This window comes from Homo sapiens, chromosome 1, assembly GCF_000001405.40.
Source record: "Homo sapiens chromosome 1, GRCh38.p14 Primary Assembly".
In the NCBI taxonomy this organism is placed as follows: domain Eukaryota; kingdom Metazoa; phylum Chordata; class Mammalia; order Primates; family Hominidae; genus Homo; species Homo sapiens.
Window position 1 is genome coordinate 4,151,006 of NC_000001.11, and position 22,621 is coordinate 4,173,626.

At 52.6% G+C, this 22,621-nt stretch overlaps 3 annotated features.

The window, feature by feature from the left end:
• Positions 1,076-1,577: an enhancer, noted in NCBI's record as "H3K4me1 hESC enhancer chr1:4212141-4212642 (GRCh37/hg19 assembly coordinates)". NCBI's record gives its function as "activates a minimal SCP1, AML or CMV promoter by ChIP-STARR-seq in primed H9 embryonic stem cells {active_cell/tissue: H9 hESC(primed)}" and the evidence as "EXISTENCE:reporter gene assay evidence [ECO:0000049][PMID:30033119]".
• Positions 1,578-2,077: an enhancer, noted in NCBI's record as "H3K4me1 hESC enhancer chr1:4212643-4213142 (GRCh37/hg19 assembly coordinates)". NCBI's record gives its function as "activates a minimal SCP1, AML or CMV promoter by ChIP-STARR-seq in primed H9 embryonic stem cells {active_cell/tissue: H9 hESC(primed)}" and the evidence as "EXISTENCE:reporter gene assay evidence [ECO:0000049][PMID:30033119]".
• Positions 21,972-22,473: an enhancer, noted in NCBI's record as "NANOG-H3K4me1 hESC enhancer chr1:4233037-4233538 (GRCh37/hg19 assembly coordinates)". NCBI's record gives its function as "activates a minimal SCP1, AML or CMV promoter by ChIP-STARR-seq in naive H9 embryonic stem cells {active_cell/tissue: H9 hESC(naive)}" and the evidence as "EXISTENCE:reporter gene assay evidence [ECO:0000049][PMID:30033119]".

Sequence of the window (22,621 nt, forward strand, 5' to 3'; positions counted from 1 at the left end):
TTTTTTAAAAGGAAAAACGTTTACTTTAAAAAGTAAAATTTATGTAGCATACAATTCACCATTTTATTACACTTTTAAAATTTATTTTTAATGGACAAATAAAAATTCTTCATACAATGCACAACATGATGTTTTGATCTGTGTATATTTGTGGAATGGCAAAATCAAGCAGCTTAACACATGTGTTATGAACTGACCGTGTTCAAGCGGACAACTCAGTGGCATTTGGTGCATTCCTTGTGTCACCATCAGCTCTCTTTAGTTTCCAACCTTCTCATCACCTCAGAAGAGACCCCGGATCTATTCACTCCTTAACTCTTTAAGGCCTGGATTCTTTCCTTTAAAAACTGATGTGAGGCCGGGCACAGTGGCTCATGCCTGTAATTCCAGCACTTTGGGAGGCCAAAGTAGGTGGATCATGAGGTTGGGAGATCGAGACCATCCTGGCTAACACGGTGAAACTCCATCTCTACTAAAAATACAAAAAAATAGCCGGGCACGGTGGCACGTGCCTGTAGTCCCAGCTACTCGGGAGGCTGAGGCAGGATAATTGCTTGAACCTGGGAGGTGGAGATTGCAGTGAGCCGAGATTTCGCCACTGCACTCCAGCCTGGGTGACAGAGCAAGACTCCATCTCAAGAAAAAAAAAAAAGAAAAAGCTGAGGGGAATGAATGTTGTCTTCAATTTCCTTTATTATTTTCATCATAAACGCCTTTGCACATGACCTGAAGGGTCTCACTCCGCTTTCCAGTGGTGCCTTCTTAGAACCTCACACTCAGCCTCCAATTTCTTTTCTTTCTTTCTTTTTTTTTTTGTGACGGAGTCTCACTCTATCGCCCAGGCTGGAGTGCAGTGGTGTGATCTCGGCTCACTGCAAGCTCCGCCTCCCGGGTTCACCCCATTCTCCTGCCTCAGCCTCCTGAGTAGCTGCGACTACAGGCACCCGCCACCACGCCCGGCTAATTTTTTGCATTTTTAGTAGAGACGGGGTTTCACCGTGTTAGCCAAGATGGTCTCAATCTTGTGACCTCGTGATCCTCCTGCTTTGGTCTCCCAAAGTGCTGGGATTACAGGCATGAGCCACTGCGCCCGGCCCCCCAGCCTTCGATTTTCTTCTGAGTCTGGCTGGGGCTCCAAGGTAGTGACTCCTCAGGAGACACTATCCAGCCTGTAGCTTCAGGGGACTGTAGGGGACTTGTGGGGTGGGGGCAGAGCCTACAGGTGCACTCACCTGGGTCCACGTGTTCCTTCAGGGAAGGCTGTTGAGTTCTGTGCATTCAGCAGAAAATAGGGCACAGCAGTGGGTTCTTCACAGTGATTTTCATGAAGATTGAAAAATGGGACTCACCCCGCTGAGTGCCAGGAACATACGAGACAATGGATAAGGTGCAGTCACTGTGTTGGAGGATTCAGTGAGAAAGCCTACGCGTGCTTAGCACACTGTGGGGGATCTGAAACATCAGCCTCCCTTTCCCCGTGGGGGCGTGGGGCTTCCCTTACTTGGTCCTGGTTACCCCCCACGGGATGCGGGGCCTTTGCATGCTCCCAGCAACCTCCCTCGACACGATTCTCCACCTTTCTACAGAGGCAGTGATGTCCCTGTGGGGCTCACGCCCAGGGATGCCTCAGAAATTCCCAGCTGGTCACAGCTCCCTGTAACCCATAGGCCCTAGCACCTGCACACTGCCTCTCATGTTACTCGCAGCGTGTTTCAGAATGGACGCAGAACCAGAGACAGAAAATCTCTCCTCTGAGCTGCTTGGTGTCATTCCCCCAGGATGCCAGGAAAGCCTGAGCCCAGTGCTCCAGTGACAGGCCCCCTCCCCAATCCAGGAGCGATAGCAGACACGAGGGGTGATGGGGATGCGACAGCCCGTGGCAGCGGGGCCCTGAGTCACTGTCCTTTAGAGCAGTGTCTTGTTGGGAAAGGAGGGCTGGGATTTGCCTGAGGGGGACTGAGGAACAAGGTGCCTGTGAAAGAGGAGTGGGGACTCAATGCCAGCCCCCACCATGCAGTCCCCATGTTACAGCGCAGGGTGAGCGTTCATTCCGGCCTTTGCTTCTCACCCTTCTTAAACAACTGCCCCAGAACCTGCACTCTGGGGACCAGAGAGAACTGTCCACATTCCCAAGACCCCCTGGAAAGGGGAGGCAGGGCTTCTTCTGCACTTGGCTCCCAGGGAGACATGAGGACGAAGGTAGGGTGAGGACCAGAGTCCCTGCCCCAGGGCTGGGCATCAGGCTTGGGGACCAGGAGGCAGAGGAACCATCAGGGATGGTCTAGGGAAAGGGAAGCCACCTCACAGTGCCAATACCCCCTCTTGATGCAGTTTTGCTGCTCTGGGCTGTTTCTGCTGCTCCCCCCACATCGGCAGTGGTGCAACCTGGATGTCCTGCCCTACCCCGACATTCCCACGTCTTGCCCCGGCCCACTTCTCACGGTGGTTCCGGTTCTCCCAGTGTGTTATCGCACAGCTGCTCATGGGGTCCTCAAGGGAGGTGGGAGAGCCTAACCCAGCAGCCCAGTGCATGGAACAGAAAAGGCACTAGCATCCCCATGAAGCAGGATGCTGTTCACAGAGCTCTGGGCCAGAAGCTGCTCTGGGGGACCAATGAGGCATGACCAGATGCTGGTGGTCGGCCATGGCTTCAGCCTCAGGCTGCTGTGACAGAGTGGTACACTGGGGACTCAAACAACAGACATGAATGTCTCACAGTCCTGGAGGCTGGAAGTCCAAGGTTGGGGTACCGGCATGGCCGGTTCTGGTGAGGGCAGAGGGCTGTCTAATTGCTGTGTCCTCACGTGGCCGAGAGTGGAGACAGAGGGGCAGCAAGTGCTCTCATGCCTGTTCTTATAAGGGCACTGATCCCATTTGTGTTAGTCAGGGATCTCCAGAGGAACAGAACCAATAGGAGAAATGCAGATAAACAGGAGAGGGGATTTATGAGGGGAATTGGCACACACGACTATGGTGGCTTACAAGTCCCATAGAAGGCCGTCTACAAGCTGGAGATGCAAGAAAGCCAGCAGTGTGATTCGGTGTGAGTCTGAAGGCCTGAGAATGAGGGGAGCTGATGGTGTGACCCCCAGCGTGAGGCCAAGGGCTGGAGGCATCATCTCAGGGGGTGTGGGGCTTGAGAACCAGGAGCTCCAATGTCTGAGAGCAGAAGATGTGTGTCCCAGCTCCAGAGGAAAGAGAGAATGAAATTGCCCTTTCTCCACCTGTTGTGCCCTCGTGATCCTGCATGGACTGGGTAACGCTCATCCACATTGGTGGAAATGGATCTTCTTAATGCAGTCTGCTGACTCAAATGCTTTTGGAAACACAGTCACAGACGCACCCTGAAATCATGCTCTACCAGCAACCTGGACAGATACCTGTTAGCCCAGTCAAGTTGACACAGAAAATTCTCCATCACGCCATTCATGCGGGCTCCACCTTCATGACCTAATCTAACACTAACCTCACAAAGGCCTCAGTGCCTCACACCGTCACCATGGGGATTAGCGTTTCAACATATGGGTTTTGGAGGGACACAAGCGTTCAGTTCCTAGGAGTCAACCAGGCACCAGGGCCAGTGGCTAACATTTCCTTTCCCATATAAAAGATGCTAGGATTCCACTTTTCCAGCCTTGGCACAATAGGAAAAAAGGAAAAACAAACAAACAACACCTCCTCTTTTAAGAAGAAAGCGCTAAATTCAATGATTCTATCTCAATAAGAAGGAAAAGTTCACTTAGAAGATTTTCTCTTGTTATTGAGTCACATCTCCAGGTGGCTGCTGCCTAGACTCTCAACCACAGTCATTTGGGAAAAAATCAGTCCTGTGCACTCAGGGCTGACACTATTGTCTTGTCACCTAATTTTTCTTTCTTTCTTTTATTTATTTTTTTTTTAAAAGATTTATTTATTTATTTATTTAGTTTTTAACAGGCTCCATTGCCCAGGCTGGAGTGCAGTGGCACAGTCACAACTCACTGCAGCCTTGACCACCTGGGCTTAAGCCATCCTCCCATCTCGGTCTCCTGAATAGCTGGGATCACAGGCGCCCACCACCATGCTGGGTTAATTATTATTATTATTATTATTATTATTATTTTGAGACGGAGTCTGGCTCTGTAGTCCAGGCTGGAGTGCAGCGGTACCATCCTGACTCACTGCAACCTCCGCCTCCCAGGTTCAAGCGATTCTCCTGCCTCAGCCTCCTGAGTAGCTGGGATTACAGGTGTGCACCACCATGCCCGGCTAATTTTTTTGTATTTTTAGTAGAGGTGGGGTTTCACTGTGGCCTCGAACTCCTGACCTCAAGTGATCTGCTTGCCTTGGCCTCCCAAAGTGCTGAGATTACAGGTGTGAGCCACTGGGCCTGCCCACATTTTAAAAAAATTATTTGTAGAGCTGGGGTTTTGCCATGTTATTCCAGGCTGGTCTCAAACTCCAGGCCTCAAGTGATCCTTCTGCCTTGGCCTCCCAAAGTGCTGGGATTACAGTCATGAGGCACTGCACCCAGCCTGATGTTTCGTTTGATGCAATTGTCTCACTTGTGAGTCACAGGTTGGACTTTACAGAAGCCCTCAAGGAGAGTCAGACTCCATACTTAAAAAAACTAGATTAGGTAAAAAAGACTTGGATTCTACGAAATCACTTCGGTTGTCTGTGATTGTCGTATAGCAACTATTTTCCATGATCAAAGTATTTATTTATTATTTATTTATTTAGAAAACCTCTCACTTTGTCACCCAGGCTGGGGTGCAGTCACACGATCACAGCTCCCTGCAGCCTCAACCTCCTGGGCTCAGATGATCCTCCCACCTCAGCCTCCCAAGTAGCTGGGACTACAGGCACCCACCACCACACCCAGTTAATTTTTGTAATTTTGTAGAGACATGGTTTTGCTGTGTTGCCCAGGCTGGTCTCTAACTCCTGAGCTGAAGCGATCTGCTCCCCTCAGCCTCCCAAAGAGCTGGGATAAGAGGCCTGAGCCACTGTGCCTGGCCCAAAGTATTTATATTTAGAATATTTACATTCCATGACCCTGGGTCCTAATCTATTCCTCAGATATTAAATAGCTTCTCAGGCATTTGCTGGAACAAATCGCATGCAAATCACTTTGGACTGTGGACCCTGGAAGCTGCCTCTTGAGTGTGTTGGGGCAGTAGGAAGATTCTGAAAGGGCTTTTTGTGAGCAGGCACCAGCCCAGTGGGGAAGAGGGTTTGGGGAGAGCTTCCCGTGGGCCACATCCAGTGTGATGCCGCCAGATGAGACCCCAGGGGTTTTGACCCCCAGGGCCATAGGTACATTTGAGGTGGCCACCTGCGTCCTGGCCTCTGGAGCCAGGGAAGAGCTCAGAGACTGTTTCCTGACTCCGACCAGGCCTAATGTCCGCTGTGGTCCCAGTGCAGGAGGCCGGGTGAGACGGCTGTGCTCACGGGCCCCTCCCTCATGGTGAGCCTGCTCTCGCGAATTCTAGCTGGGAGGCAGGAGGGGGCAGAGGGGAGTGCTGGGAGCTGTTCAGGTCCTTGCACGGAGCCCAGAGACCAGGCAGTGTCTTTGGAACCAAGACAAGTGTGGGAGTGTCTAATGAAAGCAGAGACCCCCAGCTTCACCCATTCCACAGTGGCACCCCCACAATGCTCTCTAAGGAGGTGCCTGGACCTGCCACTCTTCCTATTTCATCTTCTACGTGCTCCCTCCTGCTGCCTTCCCACCCTCCACTAAGACTGCTCCCCCAGCACTGTCACCAGGCTGCCATGTCCCCTGGTCAGTCTGCATCTCAGCTAATGATGTCACTCCTCCCTCGTGGCCTCCAAGGCCCATCATTCTTGAGGCTGCCCCTACCCAAGGGCTCTGTCTGGGGCTGGCGCCTGCCCTAAGCTCACCTGTGCTGCCCAGGCCTCCAGGCCTCTCTCTCCTCTGCCAGCCCTTTCTCCCCAGTGACCTCATTTGATCCTGCGATTGGCAGAATAATGGTCCCCAAAGATGTCCCCATCCTAATCCCTGGCACCTGTGAATACGTGATCTTACGTGGCCAAAGGGACTTTGCAGGTGTGATGATGTAAAGGATGCTGAGACGGGGAGAGGACTCCGGATGATCCGGGTGGGGCTGATGTCATCACAGAGTCCTGGGAAGGCACAGAAGAGGGGCAGGCGGGTCAGAGGAGGAACTGTGACAATGGCAGCTGGCTGTGGGTGCTCGTTTTTCCTGCAGGAGAGAAGGGTGCCCCTTGAGGCAGGTCTTCTGCAGAGTGGACCTAGGATCCGGGGCTGTTGCTCTCAGCAAAGACTCCATAAAGAGACTTCAGGGCTGGGCGTGGTGGCTCACGCCTGTAATCCCAGCATTTTGGGAGGCCAAGGCGGGTGGATCACTGGAGGTCAGGAGTTCGAGACCAGCCTGACCAACATGGTGAAACCCTGTCTCTACTAAAAGTACAAAAATTACCTGGGCATGGTGGTGGGTGCCTGTAATCCCAGCTGCTCGGGAGGCTGAAGCAGGAGAATCACTTGAACCTGGGAGGTGGAGGTTGCAGTGAGCTGAGATTGTGCCATTGCACTCCAGCCTGGGTGACAGAGTGAGACTTCATCTTAAAAAAAAAAAGAGGCTTCAGGGGAAGCGCCATCAGGACCCAGTGGCTGGGGACAGGTGAGGGCTACTGCCTAGGGTGCCTTGGCACAGCCAGCACCCAGTGGAGGTCGCAGCATTAAAAACAGCACGGGCAACAATGCTGGAAGGCGGGATGGGCAACTGTCGTCCCATTCTGAGGTACCGGGGGTTAGGACACTTCACTTTTCTTTTTTCTGGGGGGAGACACAGTTCAGCCTATAACATGGCCTGTTTCTTGCAGGTTTGCTAGTGCAGGTGATGTCCCTTCTCATTTTCCTCCAGAGCTGGGACCCCTGGATAAGGAAGGACACCTGGGAGGGAGGCGACAGCCAGGAGGGCAGGGATGGCCTGGGACCCCCATCCCATAAGGATGTGCCCAGTGGAAATGCCCTTCCCTTCTCCTCTCCAAGTAGCGGGGGACAGATCCTCGGGATGTGAAGTTGTCTGAGGTCCATTCTAACTGGGTTATTCCCCGTCCATCTCGTCAATAGCACCATGAACCGGTGCAGGAATTGTAAGTTTCATTGTGATGTCTTGGTGATGCAGCTCACACCAGAAGCCTGCATCTGATAGTATCACCGACACCCTCCAAAGACAGCAGCTGAGGACCCGCTGTGGCCTCTGCTTCTCTTCTCTCCTGATCAAGGCTGGGACTTTTATCCACCTGTTTCCCAGCAGGGATATTGATCCGAGGCTCTTTTTTTCTCATCCCTTCCCCCACCAATGCCCCAACATGGGAGGGGCTGTCTCTGCCTGCTGCATTTAGGGTTTGCTGTCAGCACAGCTAAGGGGAACTCTGGAAGGTCCCACAGTTTGTTTGAAAACTCTCTTGGAGCCGGGGGCTGTGGCTCACACCTGTAATCCCAGCACTTAGGGAGAAGGGGCGGGTGGATCACTTGAGGCCAGCAGTTTGAGACCTGCCTGGGCAATGTGGTAAAACCCCATCTGTACTAAAAATGAAAAATTATCCAGGTGTGGTGGTGGATGCCTGTAGTCCTAGCTACTCGGGAGGCTGAGGCAGGAGAATGGCTTAAACCCGGGAGGTTGCAGTGAGCTGAGATCTTGCCACTGTACTCCAGCCTGGGCTATAAAGGGAGACTCTGTCTCAAAAAATGAAAACTCTCTCGGCTTTGCATTACCTATCAGGAATCTAATTGGAAGTAGCCGAGCTTTCTTTTTAGGAAGTCAGGGTCAGACAGGCTGTGCTCGGGAAGTAACTAACTAAGAAGCGGGCCGCTGGTCTGTCAGCAAGAGTGGGGCCAGAGGGAGGGCCCCTCTTCTTCAGGCTGTAGAAGATGCTCTGTGCTGCTTCCTGGCTGGAAGATCCCAGGTAGGAACCCCCGGATATTTACACCTGGAGATACGGAACACAGACCTTTCCCTCCATGTGCTGCTGAGCACGGCTGCTCTGCGAGGTGGGCATGAGGGCCTGGATCACACGTCGGCGGAGATGAGAAAAGTGAGAGGCAAACCATCCCTCGCTCTAGTCTGCATCCTTGGCTCTGAGCTGAGGGCAATCAGATTCCAAGATCTCCCCAACCTGTGCCCCACAACCAAGAAGACATCAGAAAGGCTCAAGGTTCTGACTCTTTCTGTGCCCTCCCTCTTGTTCTCACTCTGCCTTTGCTGAAGCCGCTGGACTCACGGGTGAGTCTAAGGGACAAAGGGGCTCTCCTCCAACAGCAAACAAACTGCCCTCCCCTGCACTGATCTCAGGAGGACCCGCACTTCTGGCGGTGCTTCCCCGGCCAGCTCCCAGCTCCGGCTGCAGACTGGCTCTGCCCCTCCAGGAGGTTCCCTGAAAATCAGCCAGGGCTGTTCATTTTGTTCACGCTCTTGTCTTCCTGTCTTTAGCCCTAGAGAATCATCTTCATCTTATTCAGCCAGTAGCTGCACCTTTTGGATCCCTCCTTTCTAACCATTTAAAGTATTTCCAAATTGTTGTATAACTCAGGGAGAGGGTTGGAGGGGTTTGCCATTGAGAACTGGGGATTAGGGAAAGAAAATACCCAAGGAAAAGGTGGGCTATTTTTTTTTCTCCACAGGGCTTTGAAACCCTTTGCTAATCATGAGAGGAAACAGTTTGCTGTTCTTATACTCATTCCATGTCTTTTCAAAGCCACCCACACTGGGACCCTCGATATCTGGCCCCAGGAGCAAGAGTATCCCCCAAGGAATGGGAAGAGAGTGGAGGGCAGTGACCAAGGGGTGGGCCCGATAATGAGAATTTAAATTTTGATTGCAGGAGCAATGCCTGCAATAATAATGATGGAGAAGGACCAGGGTGTGAGCCCTGGAGAGCCCTGCCGGGACTCAGCAGGCTGGGCGTGGTGGCTCACGCCTGTAATCCAGCACTTTGGGAGGCCGAGGAGGGTGTATCATGAGATCAGGAGTTCAAGAGCAGCCTGGCCAAGATGGTGAAACCCCATCTCTACTTAAAATACAAAAAAATAGCATGGCATGGTGGTGGGCGCCTATAATCCCCACTACTAGGGAGGCTGAGGCAGAGAACTGCTTGAACCTGGGAGGCGGAGGTTGCAGTGAGCCAAGATCTCGCCATTGCATTCCAGCCTGGGCAACAGAGTGAGATTCTGTCTCAAAAAAAAAAAAAAAAAAAAAAAGGAGATGGAGCGAGTCTGGCCTCCTGGGGGAAGAGGTGCCTTTCCCCATGGCGCAGGCAGGGCTCTGACGCTGACCTCAGAGCAGTTCTGAGGAGGGGCAGGGGTCCCCTTGTGCAGAGTGGACAGTGTACGCTGACAGCCTGGGCTTTGTGGTGGGCACGGGTTGGGTGTGCAGGGCTGGCACAGGGACCATGGCCTTGGGTCCAGCTGGGTTTGAGTTCTGGGGGCAGTGGCCACGCAGGCCAAGGGTCATGTCTACCCTCTGCAGGGTCTTGCTGGTGCCCTCTGGGTCCACACAGAAGCCTCTGGGGGGACTGGAGACGGGTAGGGGCAGGGGGCAGCTGATCTCCAGAGAGTGAGTCCAGGCTCTTATTTCTCAACAGAGAGAGAGAGACAGAGACAGACAGAGACAGAGATCGTTTGATCGATTTTAAGGAATTGTCATATGATTCACTCGACCATGACGTTTGCACATCTGGAATCTGCTGGGTAAGTCGGCAGGCTGGAGATCCAGGGAGGAGTTGATGCTTCAGTCTTGAGTCTGAAATCTGCAGGCTGGAAGCGGAAGTCCCTTCTCCTCAGAGGACTCCAGTCTTCTTTCTTAAGGCCTTTGCCGGATGGGACGGGGCCCACCTATATTACGGAGGGGTATCTGCCTCACTCAGAGTCCACAGAATTTTTTTTTTTTTTTTTTGAGACAGAGTCTCACTCTGTCGCCCAGGCTGGAGTGCAGTGGCGCGATCTCGGCTCACTGCAAGCTCCGCCTCCCGGGTTCATGCCATTCTCCTGCCTCAGCCTCCCGAGTAGCTGGGACTACAGGCACCCGACACCATGCCAGGCTAATTTTTTTTTGTATTTTTGGTAGAGACGGGGTTTCACCGTGTTAGACAGGATGGTCTCGATCTCCTGACCTCGTGATCTGCCCGCCTCGGCCTCCCAAAGTGCTGGGATTACAGGCGTGAGCCACCGCGCCCGGCTCGAGTCCACAGATTTAAATGCTCATCTCATCTAAAAAACACCCGAGCAATGGGCACCGTGGCGCAGCCAAGCTGATGATAAAATGAACGATCACAGCCCTCCCAGGAGGGCAACTGCACGGGTGCCTCCCTCGCAACAGTCCAGACCTCGGGGGAGCCTCTCCTGCGGAAACGGCCCTCGCTGCTGTGCTGCCCTGGGTGCTGTTGTCCGGGTTCCGGGTGGGGAGCACCCCAGAGGAAGTAGAGCAAGCCCGGGGACCTGGGGGGCGCCCCGCCTGCCCCTGGACGTTTCGGCTGCAGGAGCCGGGATCTGCGCGGGTTTCTCTCGCTCGTTACTGACAAGAAACCGGAATTGGAATTCTGCCCGGAGCCGTCTGGGATGAGGCTGCACGTGTTTCTTTCCGTCTGCAACACAGAACCACACAGCTGGAGCAGAGGTGCATATGGGGGGTGCTGGGGGTGGGGATGGGGGTTCACCAACTTGAGAGGCCCCTGGGTGTCCGGCGACCCGAGTCCCACCCACCACCACCAAACCTCATGGGGGCGGGGCATGAGCCATGCGGGAGGGGACGCTCTCCATGGGCCCCCAGGAGGCTCCGTGGTGAGTGACAGACAGTCTGCTGTAAGTAGATGGGTCAGGGCACACTGCGTAAGAGAATGGAGAGAACACACTATGTGTGTGTGTGTACATTGCAGACACTCTTGAGATAGTGCTTAATGACAGTAAACTTTACCCAGACAGCAGCTTGGCTCATTATCTCGGTTCTGTCTCTGCCTCAAGTCACTCATGCAGGTCAGGAGATTCCAAAGGGCCGCTTGGAGGGAGAAGGGACATCTGTATTAGCTTCTCAGTTTTGGACCAGGGGCTGCCGCCCAGCTTTCAGGGTGATCCCGCAAAGATTAGATAAGGCAGACACCGGTGGTCCTCAGCCCGGATCTCTCTGTCTCTCTTTCTCTTTCTCTATTTCTCTCGCTCTTTCTGTCCCTGCCCCTGTGCCCTTGAGCCCTGGAACCTACCTTTCAAACAAGGATCAGGGTTACCCGGGGACATTCACCCAGCAAAACGCAGGGACAGCAGAGATAGAAGGACGCAACTGTGATCCAAATGCTTGTGGGGTGTGTGGAAGACGGACGGAGCCATAAGACAGAAGTAATGCCTGAGGCTGGGAATGCCGAGATTGACTGCAAGGCATCCCCAGGACCAAGTGATCTGAACCAGAATCTCGGCTGTGTGCTGGGATGGGCTGTGGAGCCCTGCTGTCTCTTACACCTCCATTTCCTCAACTGCAACATGGGGATGATGACTCTGAGTTGTGAGTTTTGAAGGAGACAGTGCCAGGGACAAGGTCAGAGATAAGGACTGTCATTATTTCTCAGTCTTACCTTTCTCTTCTATTAAATGGGGATCATATCTACGGGAAGGGCTGTTGTGAGGAGGGGGATTATTTAACGTGCCTCCTGAAGCACACTGATGATGAAAAGGTCTCTTTTTCCCTCCCCTCCTCTCCCCTCCTCTCTCTTTCTTTCTTTCCTTCTTTCTTTCTCTCTCTCTCCTTCCTTCCTTCCTTCCTTCCTTCCTTCCTTCCTTCCTTCCTTCCTTCCTTCCTCTCTTTCTCTCTTTCCTTTCTTTCTGATGGAGTCTTGCTCTGTCGCCTGGGCTGGAGTGCAGTGGTGCAATCTTGGCTCACTGCAACCTCCACCTTCCTAGTTCAGGCAATTCCCTTGCCTCAGCCTCCCAAGGAGCTGGGATTATAGGTGCACGCCACCATGCCCAGCTAATTTTTTTGTATTTTTAGTAGAGACAGGGTTTCACCATGTTAGCCAGACTGGCCTCGAACTCCTGACCTCAGGCAATCCACCTGCCTCGATTTCCCAAAGTGCTGGGATTACAGGTGTGAGCCACCACATCTGGCCCTTTTTTCTTTCTTGACACAATCTCACTCCATCACCCAGTCTGGAGTGCTGTGGTGCAATCTTGGTTCACTGCAGCCTTGACCTCCAGGCTGAAGCAATCCTCTTGCCTCAGCCTCCCGAGTAGCTGGGACTATAGGTACACACCTCCACACCCAGCTGGGTTTTTAAATTTGTTTTGTAGAGAAGGAGTCTCACTTTGTTGCTCAGGCTGGTCTCAAACTCCTAGGCTCAAGCAATCCTCCTGCTTTGGCATCCCAAAGTGCTGGGATTACAGGCATGAGTCACTATGCCTGGCAATGAATAGCTTTAATGATCTATTCAGTGCAACATGAGGATGAACTTTCTATCCCTCAGCACGATTAAACATGAACAAGTACCTCAGGGCGGGCTGAGGTCTCTGTGGCTGAATGTCCAGGGTGACCAGTGGTTGGGAGCATCAAGGTACTGAGGCAGCCCACTTTTCACGTTCTTCCAGGGGCACCGTTTTGGGGCAGACAGGGTTGGAGGAAAATCACAGAGTGGCTGAGTGTCAACGCTGCCCCTTTAGGGTCGTCCCCAGGTGCTGCCCTCCACCCAGGCTCCCCAGGCAGTGCCCCCAGTCCCAACTCGATTTTCCTATTTTCTGATCCATCCTGGAATCCTGGTCTTCCACTGCTGATGGGATAAACCAACTCAGATTTGGGCTTTTCATTTTCAACCACATTTTGAAGCGTACCTGATGATGTCTAAGGCTGAAAATGTCGCTCCTCCCGAAGGCCTCAGGGGACCCCGGAGACGTGGGCACCTTAACCTATGGAGCGAGATGACTTCTTGGCAGGCTGTGAGGATGACTTGCTCTCAAGGGTGTCCTGTGAGTTTCCCTCAAGAGCAGTGACACCTGTTCTCTGGTCCTCCTTGTTGGGTGGAGAGAGGTTAAACTACGAAGAAAAGGCATTGCACTGAAAAAAGCAAAACAAAACAAAACAAAACACAATAGCATCTCCTTTGGGGCTGGTGTCTGGAGGTGCTGCAGGTGGAAATGGGAGCTGCTGTGTGACTGAGCAGGGCTCCTTCTGTCACTTGTCTTGAAGTAGGAGAAACAGAGGACTGTGGCTTCTGTTTCCATTTTCACTATTTTTCCCTCAGCGTCTTCCGACAGGCAGAGTGCATGCATGGGGAATGTGGACACGCTCCTGAATTTCTGCAGAGAATGCTAGAACATGAAAAGCTGTCACTAGTTTCTAAAGGAAAATAAATGGATTTCAGCCTCCTGGTGGCCCCCGGCTTTTCCTGCCCTCCCCATGAGCGCTTTCGCACTTCTCTTCATGCCTTGTTTTCCGGCTGTTCCCTGCGTTTCTAAGAGGGTTGACCCCAGGGTGGAGCAGCCTTCATCAGTTGGTTGTTTCTCTCAGAAGCATCACAAAACCAACAGGCTCCTGCCACAAATATTTCAACTCAAACCATCTTCCTCCTCCCACAGGTGTCTTCTCTTGCTTGCTTTCTTTGTCCATGGCTAACATGTGGAAGCCACACACCTACCTGTCGGCCACCTCTACCTGGCATTCTCTAGGAACCTCAGGGGTGACCTGGCTCAGTGACTGTTATTTTTTTTCTCCTGCACCTATGCCTCCCTTGGGGCTCCCCAGCTCAGGACCAGGCCATGGCGTCAATCTGCTTGATTAAGCTTCACCTTGGGGCATCCTGGATTCCAAACTTTCTCTGCCATGGTGGAGTCTGTGTCTTCAATATGTTCCAAATGCATTCACCTTTTGTCACCCCTGCCCCCATGGCACTGGCTCACTTAGCCCCCCTCCACCTTGTCTGCACTTTTGAAACAATCTTCTAGCCCAGCCACCTCTGTCTGTCTCTTGCTCCAAACCATCCTTTACCCTGAAGCTATAGTGACCTTTCAGAAATACACATTTCATCACGTGCTGCCCGCTTTATTCCCTTTCAGCAACTCCATTGACTGCTGGTCGCAGTCCAAACCTTTAGCATGACCCGCAGGATCCAGCACCTCTCACCCCTGCAGGATCCCTGCACAGCTCCACCCCTGCACAGCCCCTCTGCAGGGCCCCACCCAGGCCCTGCCCTCATGGCCTCTCAGCTCTGCCTCTTTGGTCTCAGCTCTGGAGCTCTGGCTTCTGCAGCTTCAGACACACCAAGCTCAATTCTGCAAATATCCTTGTTCCCTCTCACATCAGGTTCTGCACCTAGGATGCCCTTTGCACCCTTCTCCTCCCTGCACCTGTTTGTAACTCCACTGGACCGTGTCCCTGAGCCCCAAGTCCTGGGAGATACCGTCCTGCCAGCTCTGTAGGACAGAGATGCTTTCCTGCCCCTGACTGCTCCTTTGGGCTCCCGTTCCTCCCAGACGGCTTCTGAGGTCCTCCAGCCATGCCTGTTCTTCCGTGAGGGTCTGACCCCAGCAGGCCTCCCAGGGTCACTTGCCTTCAGAAGGAGCACCGAGCCCTGCAAATGCAGCCCACCCTGCTGGAAAATGTACCTAAGACCTGTGGTCGAGCCCAAGACTGCCCCTCCTTGTACTTCCCTTGAGTAGCTATTAATTTACACAAACCTCCCAAGCCTAGAAACTTTCTTTGAAAGTTTGTGCATCAGATGAAATCTTGTCATCGGGACTGATTATTCTGCCAATCCGTTTCCTTGAAACAAACAAACAAAAAAATAAACAAACGCTTCCAGACCCAGCCCCCTTCCTGCTTCTCAGGCCTTGAGTATGGAGCCTTCCTGGGAGATGATCTGTAATTTAGTCCTGTGTTCTTGGCAAACCGACTTTTTAGTGCCGTTAACTGTCTTCTCTCTTCTCTATCACGTTGCTCCAGATGTGAAGTCTTTTGATGGCGGAGGCGCTGCCTTGAGCGGACACACGCCTCGCCAGCACATCCTTGTTTAGAACGTCAAGAACCCGCCACGTTTCTGCAGGTGCCAACATTTTATCTTTAATGTTTCCAGACAGATTAACACTAGTCAGGGAAGAGTCAGAAAAGCCTGTCTTTACCCTGGAATTCTCGGTTGAATTATTCATGGCAAAGAACTCTTTCTGAAAACATGTCACTCACATCCACACTGGAGGTTAGCAAAGGTTTCACATCTGGAGCTCTGCACTGGGAGGCCCAGCTGGTGCTCTTTGCCCTTTCTGAGGCTTTCCTCAAGTTCGGGGCTAATGTTCCTCCTCTCTCGGGCCAACCCTTTAAAGACCCTGCCTGTGCCTGGTGAGGGGTCCCAGCCTAGGGCAGTTGCTCAGGTTGTACACTGCACCAGGTCGCCTGGCTGATTCTACCCCTTACCCACCTTGCTCAGCTTTAGGCCCTGGAAGGGGCTATCTGCCCAGAGGGGGACACTGTTTTCTAAGTGGTAAAAAAGCACCCGATGGACCAGCAGTGTCGCAACTCACGCCCAAGCTGCTCCGAGTGCCTAGCTTGGTGGGGAAAGGTGTGGAGTCACCACCTCCACTCTGCTCCTTCTCCAGGTGTCTGTCTGTCTTTGCTGCTGTCTTGGTGACTGTCCTCTGCCCCCCTGGCCTGGGCCTGACCACATTTCTTGCCTCCCACTTGGGTTCCCCTTCCTCTCTCAGACTTTTCCTCCCTGCCCTAGCCTGGCATTTCCTCCAGGCACCTTCCCTTTCCTGAGGGTCCAGCTTCCCTGGACTCTTCCTTTGGTTCCATTCCAGATCCCCCAGTGGAAGGCTGTTTGTTGGCTTCTGCCCCATCCTGCTCCTCCCCCAACTCCTCCAAGCCTTCCGAAACCACTGCTTTTTGCACATAAATCACAGCCTTAAAATTAAGCCGAGCAGTGCTAGGCTGACAGCCTGTGAGCTGATGCAACCGCACCGAGTATGCTGAGCCTGGTGGCATTCAAGGAGCTGCTGGTGTTAAGATGCTCTCTGTGGGGCTTGAGGTCGTGATTCATAAAGAGGGGTGGACAAGAGGGTGGAGACTGGAGATGACAGTGTTTCCCACCCTGAGATGCAGGAGCCATCCTTGGCAGGGCTCAGGGCCTGGAGTTGTCTGCTGGATGGTGGTCTGTGTCCCGTACTCATTTGGAAGAAGCACTCTGCTGCGTCCTCAGTCTCCCGCCAGCGGCTTTGTGATCGCTCTTCTGAAGATCTCCTTGTCCATCATTTTCTCAGTGCGCAACACCCCAATTCTGCAAACCAGAGACCTGCCAGGATTGTTGAGTGCCCCGGCCACCCCGGCTCTGCCCTTGAGGTCAGAAAAGTTTGAGGCCTCTCGGTTTGGGATCCAGTCCCGCTGCCTGCTGGCTGTGTGGATGTGAGCACGTCGCGTTCTGGAACCTCATTGTCTCACCCTTGTCAAACCATGGGCAGTGCCATTTACTGTGCAGGCTTCAGAGGATTAACTGAGGCAGTAACTGTCACATGAATGTTAGCTGTTGTTATTCTTCTTATTATGATGTTTTTATAAATACACAATTACCCAAAGGCTCTGTGAGCTCATTTTCGGTCCTAAGAAAATCTGACATCAAAGAGCCTGCTAGTGGCAGATGCCAGGAGACATGGCAGACGACAGCCTGCCACTGCAGAAGAAAACAAAACGGCTTCACGGCAGCTCCCAACGGTGCTCTCTGTAACCACACAAGTGCATGTGCACAAAGTTCTTTACTCATCTAAGAAGAAGTCAATTACTTTCCAGGATTAGGGAGGCATGGAAGCGGACCATCTATATGAGAATGGTTTCCATCCACATGGGTCAGATACAGTCTGGCGACTGGAGGGCACGGTGGGTGATTCTCTCACGTGGCAGGTGCACGCCCGTTGCCTTTGCAATGGGCTTCTGCATGTGTACTTTAACCTACTAGCTCTGTGACCCTGGGCAACATGCTTAACCTCTTTGAGCCTGTATTAGTCAGGGTTCTCTGGAAGGACAGGACTAATAGGATAGACGTATATGTGAAGGGGAGTTTATTAGGAGAATTGACTCACACGATCACGAGGTGAAGTCCCACAATAGGCCATCTGCAAGCTGAGGAGCCAGGAAACCAGTCTGAGTCCCAAAACCTTGAAAGTAGGGAAGCCCAGGAGCCCCTGGCAAACCACTGGTATAAGTCCAAGAGTCCAAAAGCTGAAGAACTTGGAGTTCAGTATTCGAGGACAGGAAGCATCCAGCACAAGAGAAAGAGGGAGGCCAGAAAACTCAGCCAGTCTATTCCTTCCACATTCTTCTGCCTGCTTTTATTCTAGCTTCGCTGGCAGGTGATTAGATGGTGCCAACCCAGACTGAGGGTGGGTCAGCCTCTGCCAGTCCACTGACTCAAATGTTAAGCTCCTTTGGCGATACCCTCACAGACACACCCAGGAACAATACTTTGCATCCTTCAAATCAATCAAGTAGACACTCAATATTAGTCATCAGAGTCTGTTTCTTCAACAGCAATATTGAGATGATAATAGCCCTCTATGACTTTCTTAGGTTGTCATAGTCAAGTACCACAAGCTGGATGGCTTAAAAATCACAGGAATTTATTATCTCACCTGCCCAGGAGGCCAGAACTCAGAAATCAAGGTGTGGGCAGGGCCATGCTCACTAAGAAGCCTCTGGGGGAGGGTCCTTCCTTGCTTCTTCCAGATTCTGGTGGCTCCTGGAATCCCTCGGCTTGTGGTAGCATCACTCCAATTACTGGCTCTGTGGTCACATGGCCAACTCCCCCTTGTGTGTCTGTCTCCTCTTCTTAGAAGGACACTAGTCATATTGGATAAGAACCTACCTGAAGACCTTCTCCTAACTCAGTTGCATCTGCAAAGACCCTAGCTCCAAATCAGGTCACACTGAAAGGTATGGGGGGGTTAGGGCTTTAACATACCTTTCTGGAGGGACACAATTCAACTTGTAACAGGTCTCCACCTCCTGGGGCTGCTGGGATGATTGGTCAGGTGGCGTGTGCTAAGCATATGTGGCCCCTGTTAGGTTCCTAGGTGGTCATAATTAAGTATCTTGAGCTGGGCAGCTTAAAAATCACAGGAATGTATTCTCTCATACATATTCTCTCATACACTGTTCATATGTGGCCATAGGAACTGCTCAACACATTTCAGCCATTGAAGCAATTATTCATTCTTCTTACCTGTCTACATTGTCAAGGAAGTTCTGCAGATACAGAAAATGAAGAAGACTTTGCCAAGACGAAGAATGGGGAAATGCTGCTGAACAGTGGGTCACCTGAGCTCTTTGCAGTCCAACACCAACCATTCCATGCTTCTTCTGCACACAGAACCAGATCCGTGCCTTCTTTATGATTCCTGCTAGTGTCACATGAACTCCACCCAAAATCAGAGAAGCAAGACCCCTACATCGCTTATACCCTGCTCACTTAACACAATGATTGAATCACCAGCTATATGAGTGCAGTGTTACGTGGAGAAAAATACATAATTACTTAGACACAGTCGTTGTCTTCAAGGAGCACAGGTCTGTCTACCTCCCACAAGACATATGGCCGTGTGAGGAGAGCCTGCTAGAGAGAGAAGCAGGTTCTGCAGATCTCAGAGGGGTCACGTCTGCCCAGCTGGAGGCTGGGTCCCATGAAGAAGGCAAAAGAAATACACACCATCCTTAAGGAGCTTTGACTCATTCATTCCACATTTATTTATTTTCATTTATTTCTTTTTTGAGATAGAGTCTTACTCTGTCACCCAGGCTGGAGTGCAGTGGCATGATTTTGACTCACTGCAACCTCTGCCTCCCGGGTTCAAGTGATTCTCCTGCCTCAGCCTCCTGAGTAGCTGGGATTACAGGTGTGTACCACCATGCCTGGCTAATTTTTGTATTTTTTAGTAGAAATGGGATTTCACCATGTTGGCTAGGTGGGTCTTGAACTCCTGACCTCAAGTGATCCACCCACCTCGGCCTCCCGAAGTGCTGGGATTATAGGCATGAACCACCGCACCAGGCCCCTTCCATATTTATGAAGCCACCACTTAGGCCAGTCCCGGGGCATACAGTGACAAATCTTGAACTAACAGGAGCGATGAGAACAGGGGGAGATGAAACAGCAGAGAGCTCGATGCAGGCACTGGAAGAGACTGGTGCTCCCAGCTGAGCTGGGCCAGGTCAGGGCCAGGGGAGGCCATGCTCTCTCTCTTGGTCTGGAAGCCCATGCCCCGGCCCTTCTCCCCAACAGTGGCCCCTCTTCTGGCCAACAGGTGCCAGCAGGCAGTGTGACCCTGTTTTTGTCTCACCTTCAGGTTTGCCCAGAAACATCCCCAGGCTTCCAAGCTTGCTTCACTAAGTTAAACATCTTTATTCTGCCTCCTTTTGCAGCCATTCATTTTAATCATGCAAAGGTCAGCTGTCACCGCACAAATGTTAGACTTAATTTGTTTTCTTGATGCACGTGGTATCCGTGATAATGTGGCCCAATTTTTCGTCATTTGCCAACGGGGAGCTGCAGTGGGTAGGGGTGACTCACAGACAGCTGAGGGTGAGACCGAGGAAGGCTGTCTGGAAACCTGTACAGGAGAAGGGTTTGATTTGGGGCAGGATGTGCTAATGGCATCGAGTCCCAGGAACATGACTTTAGTCCTAAGAGTCCGTGGCTTGAGAGCAGGAGCTCCTGAGAATCGCTCGGTTATTCCACGCATCGGTTGTCCCTCAGGTAAGTGGTGAATGATGCCTCAGCAGCCTTCGCTTCTACTCCTAGAGCAGAGCTTTGCATTTCGACGGCCGTTCTTTCACCATTTCAGAGACGAGAGCTGCTCAAGGAGGCCAATCCTGCCTCCTTGTCCCTTCCTGGCCCCCTCTTCTTCTCACCCTTCTCCTGTCTCTTCTATCTCTTGGTCTGCTGGAAGTTTCCAAGTTGCAGACTGAAGTGGAGGCCTTGAGGTCTCTCAGCAAGCTTTTCTACTTACCACGCATTTTTCTGCTGTGGGAAGATCCCCAGAGAGAGATGTTGGAAGCACAGCCCAGCATTGCTGTGGAAACAGAGCTCACCCGTCTGCGCCCCAGCAGAATTGCATCATTTACTGTCTGTGCGGCAGCCCACAAGGAGAAATAGACTCAGAATGACAATCCGACACTCCCACGGGCTGCGTGCCACTTTGCGGTACACCACACACCAGCACGGAGAGGGGTTTGGTGCAGGGGGGACAGGGTGGCGTGGAGAGTGCTTCTCCTCATTAGCAGATGCCGCTATGTCTTTCTATGCAGCCCCCACTGGACGTCCTGCAGCTCCTTAAACTCAACGTGTGTGGAATGTAGCTCATCCTCTTGTTGAACCCACCTCCCGGGCTGACCTGTCACCATTGCCCGTGTCGGCCCTCAGCCACACGCTCATCTGTGTTCTCTTCTCTGTGTCCCCATCAGCTCCATCTCCAGGGCCTTCCCAACGCCTTCCGGTCCACGTGCTTTTCTCTGACTCTACTCTCTCCATCATGGCAGAAGCCTGCATTTGTTGCCTAGATGGTGTTGATCCTTTCCTGACTGTGGGTGTGACAGCTAGGTTAGTGTCTCTCACCCAGCCTGGACGGCGTTCTGTGCTGGGAGGAGTTAGGATTGCTGGCGTTTGTTACCATTGCCCCTGCACAGCTCTCATGCCTGGCACATGGCCCACACTCTTAGCTAAACAGTTGGCTGAGAATAAATGAATGGTGAAGCCATGTGTCCCCCTCTGCTTGCTGCCTTCCCTTTCCAACACATCAGTAGCCACGACTGCCTCTGCGGCTGGTAGGTCACTGCTGTCTGAGCCCTGCCTGGGCCAGGAGCCATGCGAGGCATTTCACCCACATGATCTTTTTAAATCCCAGCACCAACTCTAACGTGCTAAAGCCGATTGTTTTGTGCTGCCCATTTTAGAGAGGAAGCTTGAGCTCGCGAGGGGCGAAGGGACTTGCTTCAGGTCACACAGCTCGTCAGGGTCTATCCCCACCCCAAAGCCCAGGCTCCCAGACATTGGGTCTTCCCTGCCTGAGAAATCCCAAGGAATCTTTCTCCCCCAGGGGCTCCTGAGTTCCAAAGCACTGTCAACTGGAAGGTCAAAGTCTTGAGCAGGAAATTTGGCCTGGGTGGGACCTGCCTCACGAACGTCCTCGCTTCCTCCGACCCCCTACCCCCAACCAGGGCAGCTCCCTCCTCAGGAGTCTCCCTGAGCCTCCCTGGCAAACCTGGTTCTCAGGTCGCTGGGCTCCTCTCCTGATCGCCTGTTTGCCTGCAGCTCCCACACCTCCTCCACCCTCATGCGACTGACTCATCTGTGACCCCCCGGGGAGGCGTCACTGACTGCCCTGCAGAGCCCCTCCCCCGGTGCCTCGGTCACCCACCACCCTCTAAGTCCTGCCCCTTCTCTCTTCCATCAAACCCTCAGGAAGGTGCTCAGCAAGAGGCCCCTCTGAAACAGGGGCCTCCATGGTATTGAAGAGTTGCTCAGCCACGCAGGAGAGACCCAAGGAGAGAGTTGCTAAGCTCTCCTTGTATCTCTGCCTCTCCCCCGGCATCCAGTGCTGTGCTTGGCAGGTGCAGGTGCCCACAGAATCTCAGAGAATAAGCGAGTGAATATCTCATGTTTCAGGGGGAGCACTAAGGGGTGCGGAGTAGACTGTGACACCTGCAGTCCAAGAGTGATTGCTTAGCGGCAAATGTCCCAGTGTGCCCAGAATAGCATCTTGTACACTGCACCAGATGATGGAGTCACCTGCTAGTCATTGGGGAATGAAGCCAAGAAAAATGGGATCGGGTAGGAGGCCCTCTCTGTCTCCCTTTGCACACCTCTCCCCCTCCCAACTCATGGAGCAATGGAATCCATCCCAAATTAGCACTGTGCCATGCCAGGCACCGGCATCCTAGTGGCAGCAAAGTGTAAGGTCTCCGGCTCCCCACCCCAGTGAGACTGGCTAGCTGTGTGACTTGGGCAAGTCACTTAACCTGTCTGTGACTCCTCTTCTTGAAGAATCCCAATAGGCATTAGCACTTCAAAGACTCAGGTACAGCCTGCACTAAAGAAAATTGTATTTGAAGACTTCAGGTTTGAGTGTGTGTCTTCCCTGCAGGACTTCTCAGAGCCTTTAATGTGCAAATATGTGCTATGGACTTCCAAAGGGGGATGCTGCAAATATTTGATCACAGATCACTTTTGTCTTGGCGCCTCTCTGTTTGGGAAATTGTGATCATCACAGGGGCAATGGCAAGTCCTATGTACGGGGCACTTGCTGTGCGTGAGTCTGCATGCTCAGCATGGACACAGATGAAGTCTTTGATCCTCATAGTCGCCCTGCAGGGGGTGCTGGCATCTCGTTCGATTCACTGCTGAGGTTACTGAGGCTTCCACTCAATGCCACATCCTCAGCCCCAGTGGAGGCGAGAGTCCCATGCAGGCAGCCTCTGTGCTTGGCCCCGTGTTGCACGTGGCTCTCGGCTGAGGAGCTCAGCCACTTCACCCTGGGCTGATCTCCAGACCTGTCTCTCACCAGCGTTTAGCCTGAGCCCTGATCTGTGTGGTCAGCAGCATTCCCAGTGCCCTTGCAGGGTGTCTCCTGCTCCCCAAACAGTCTAAGCTG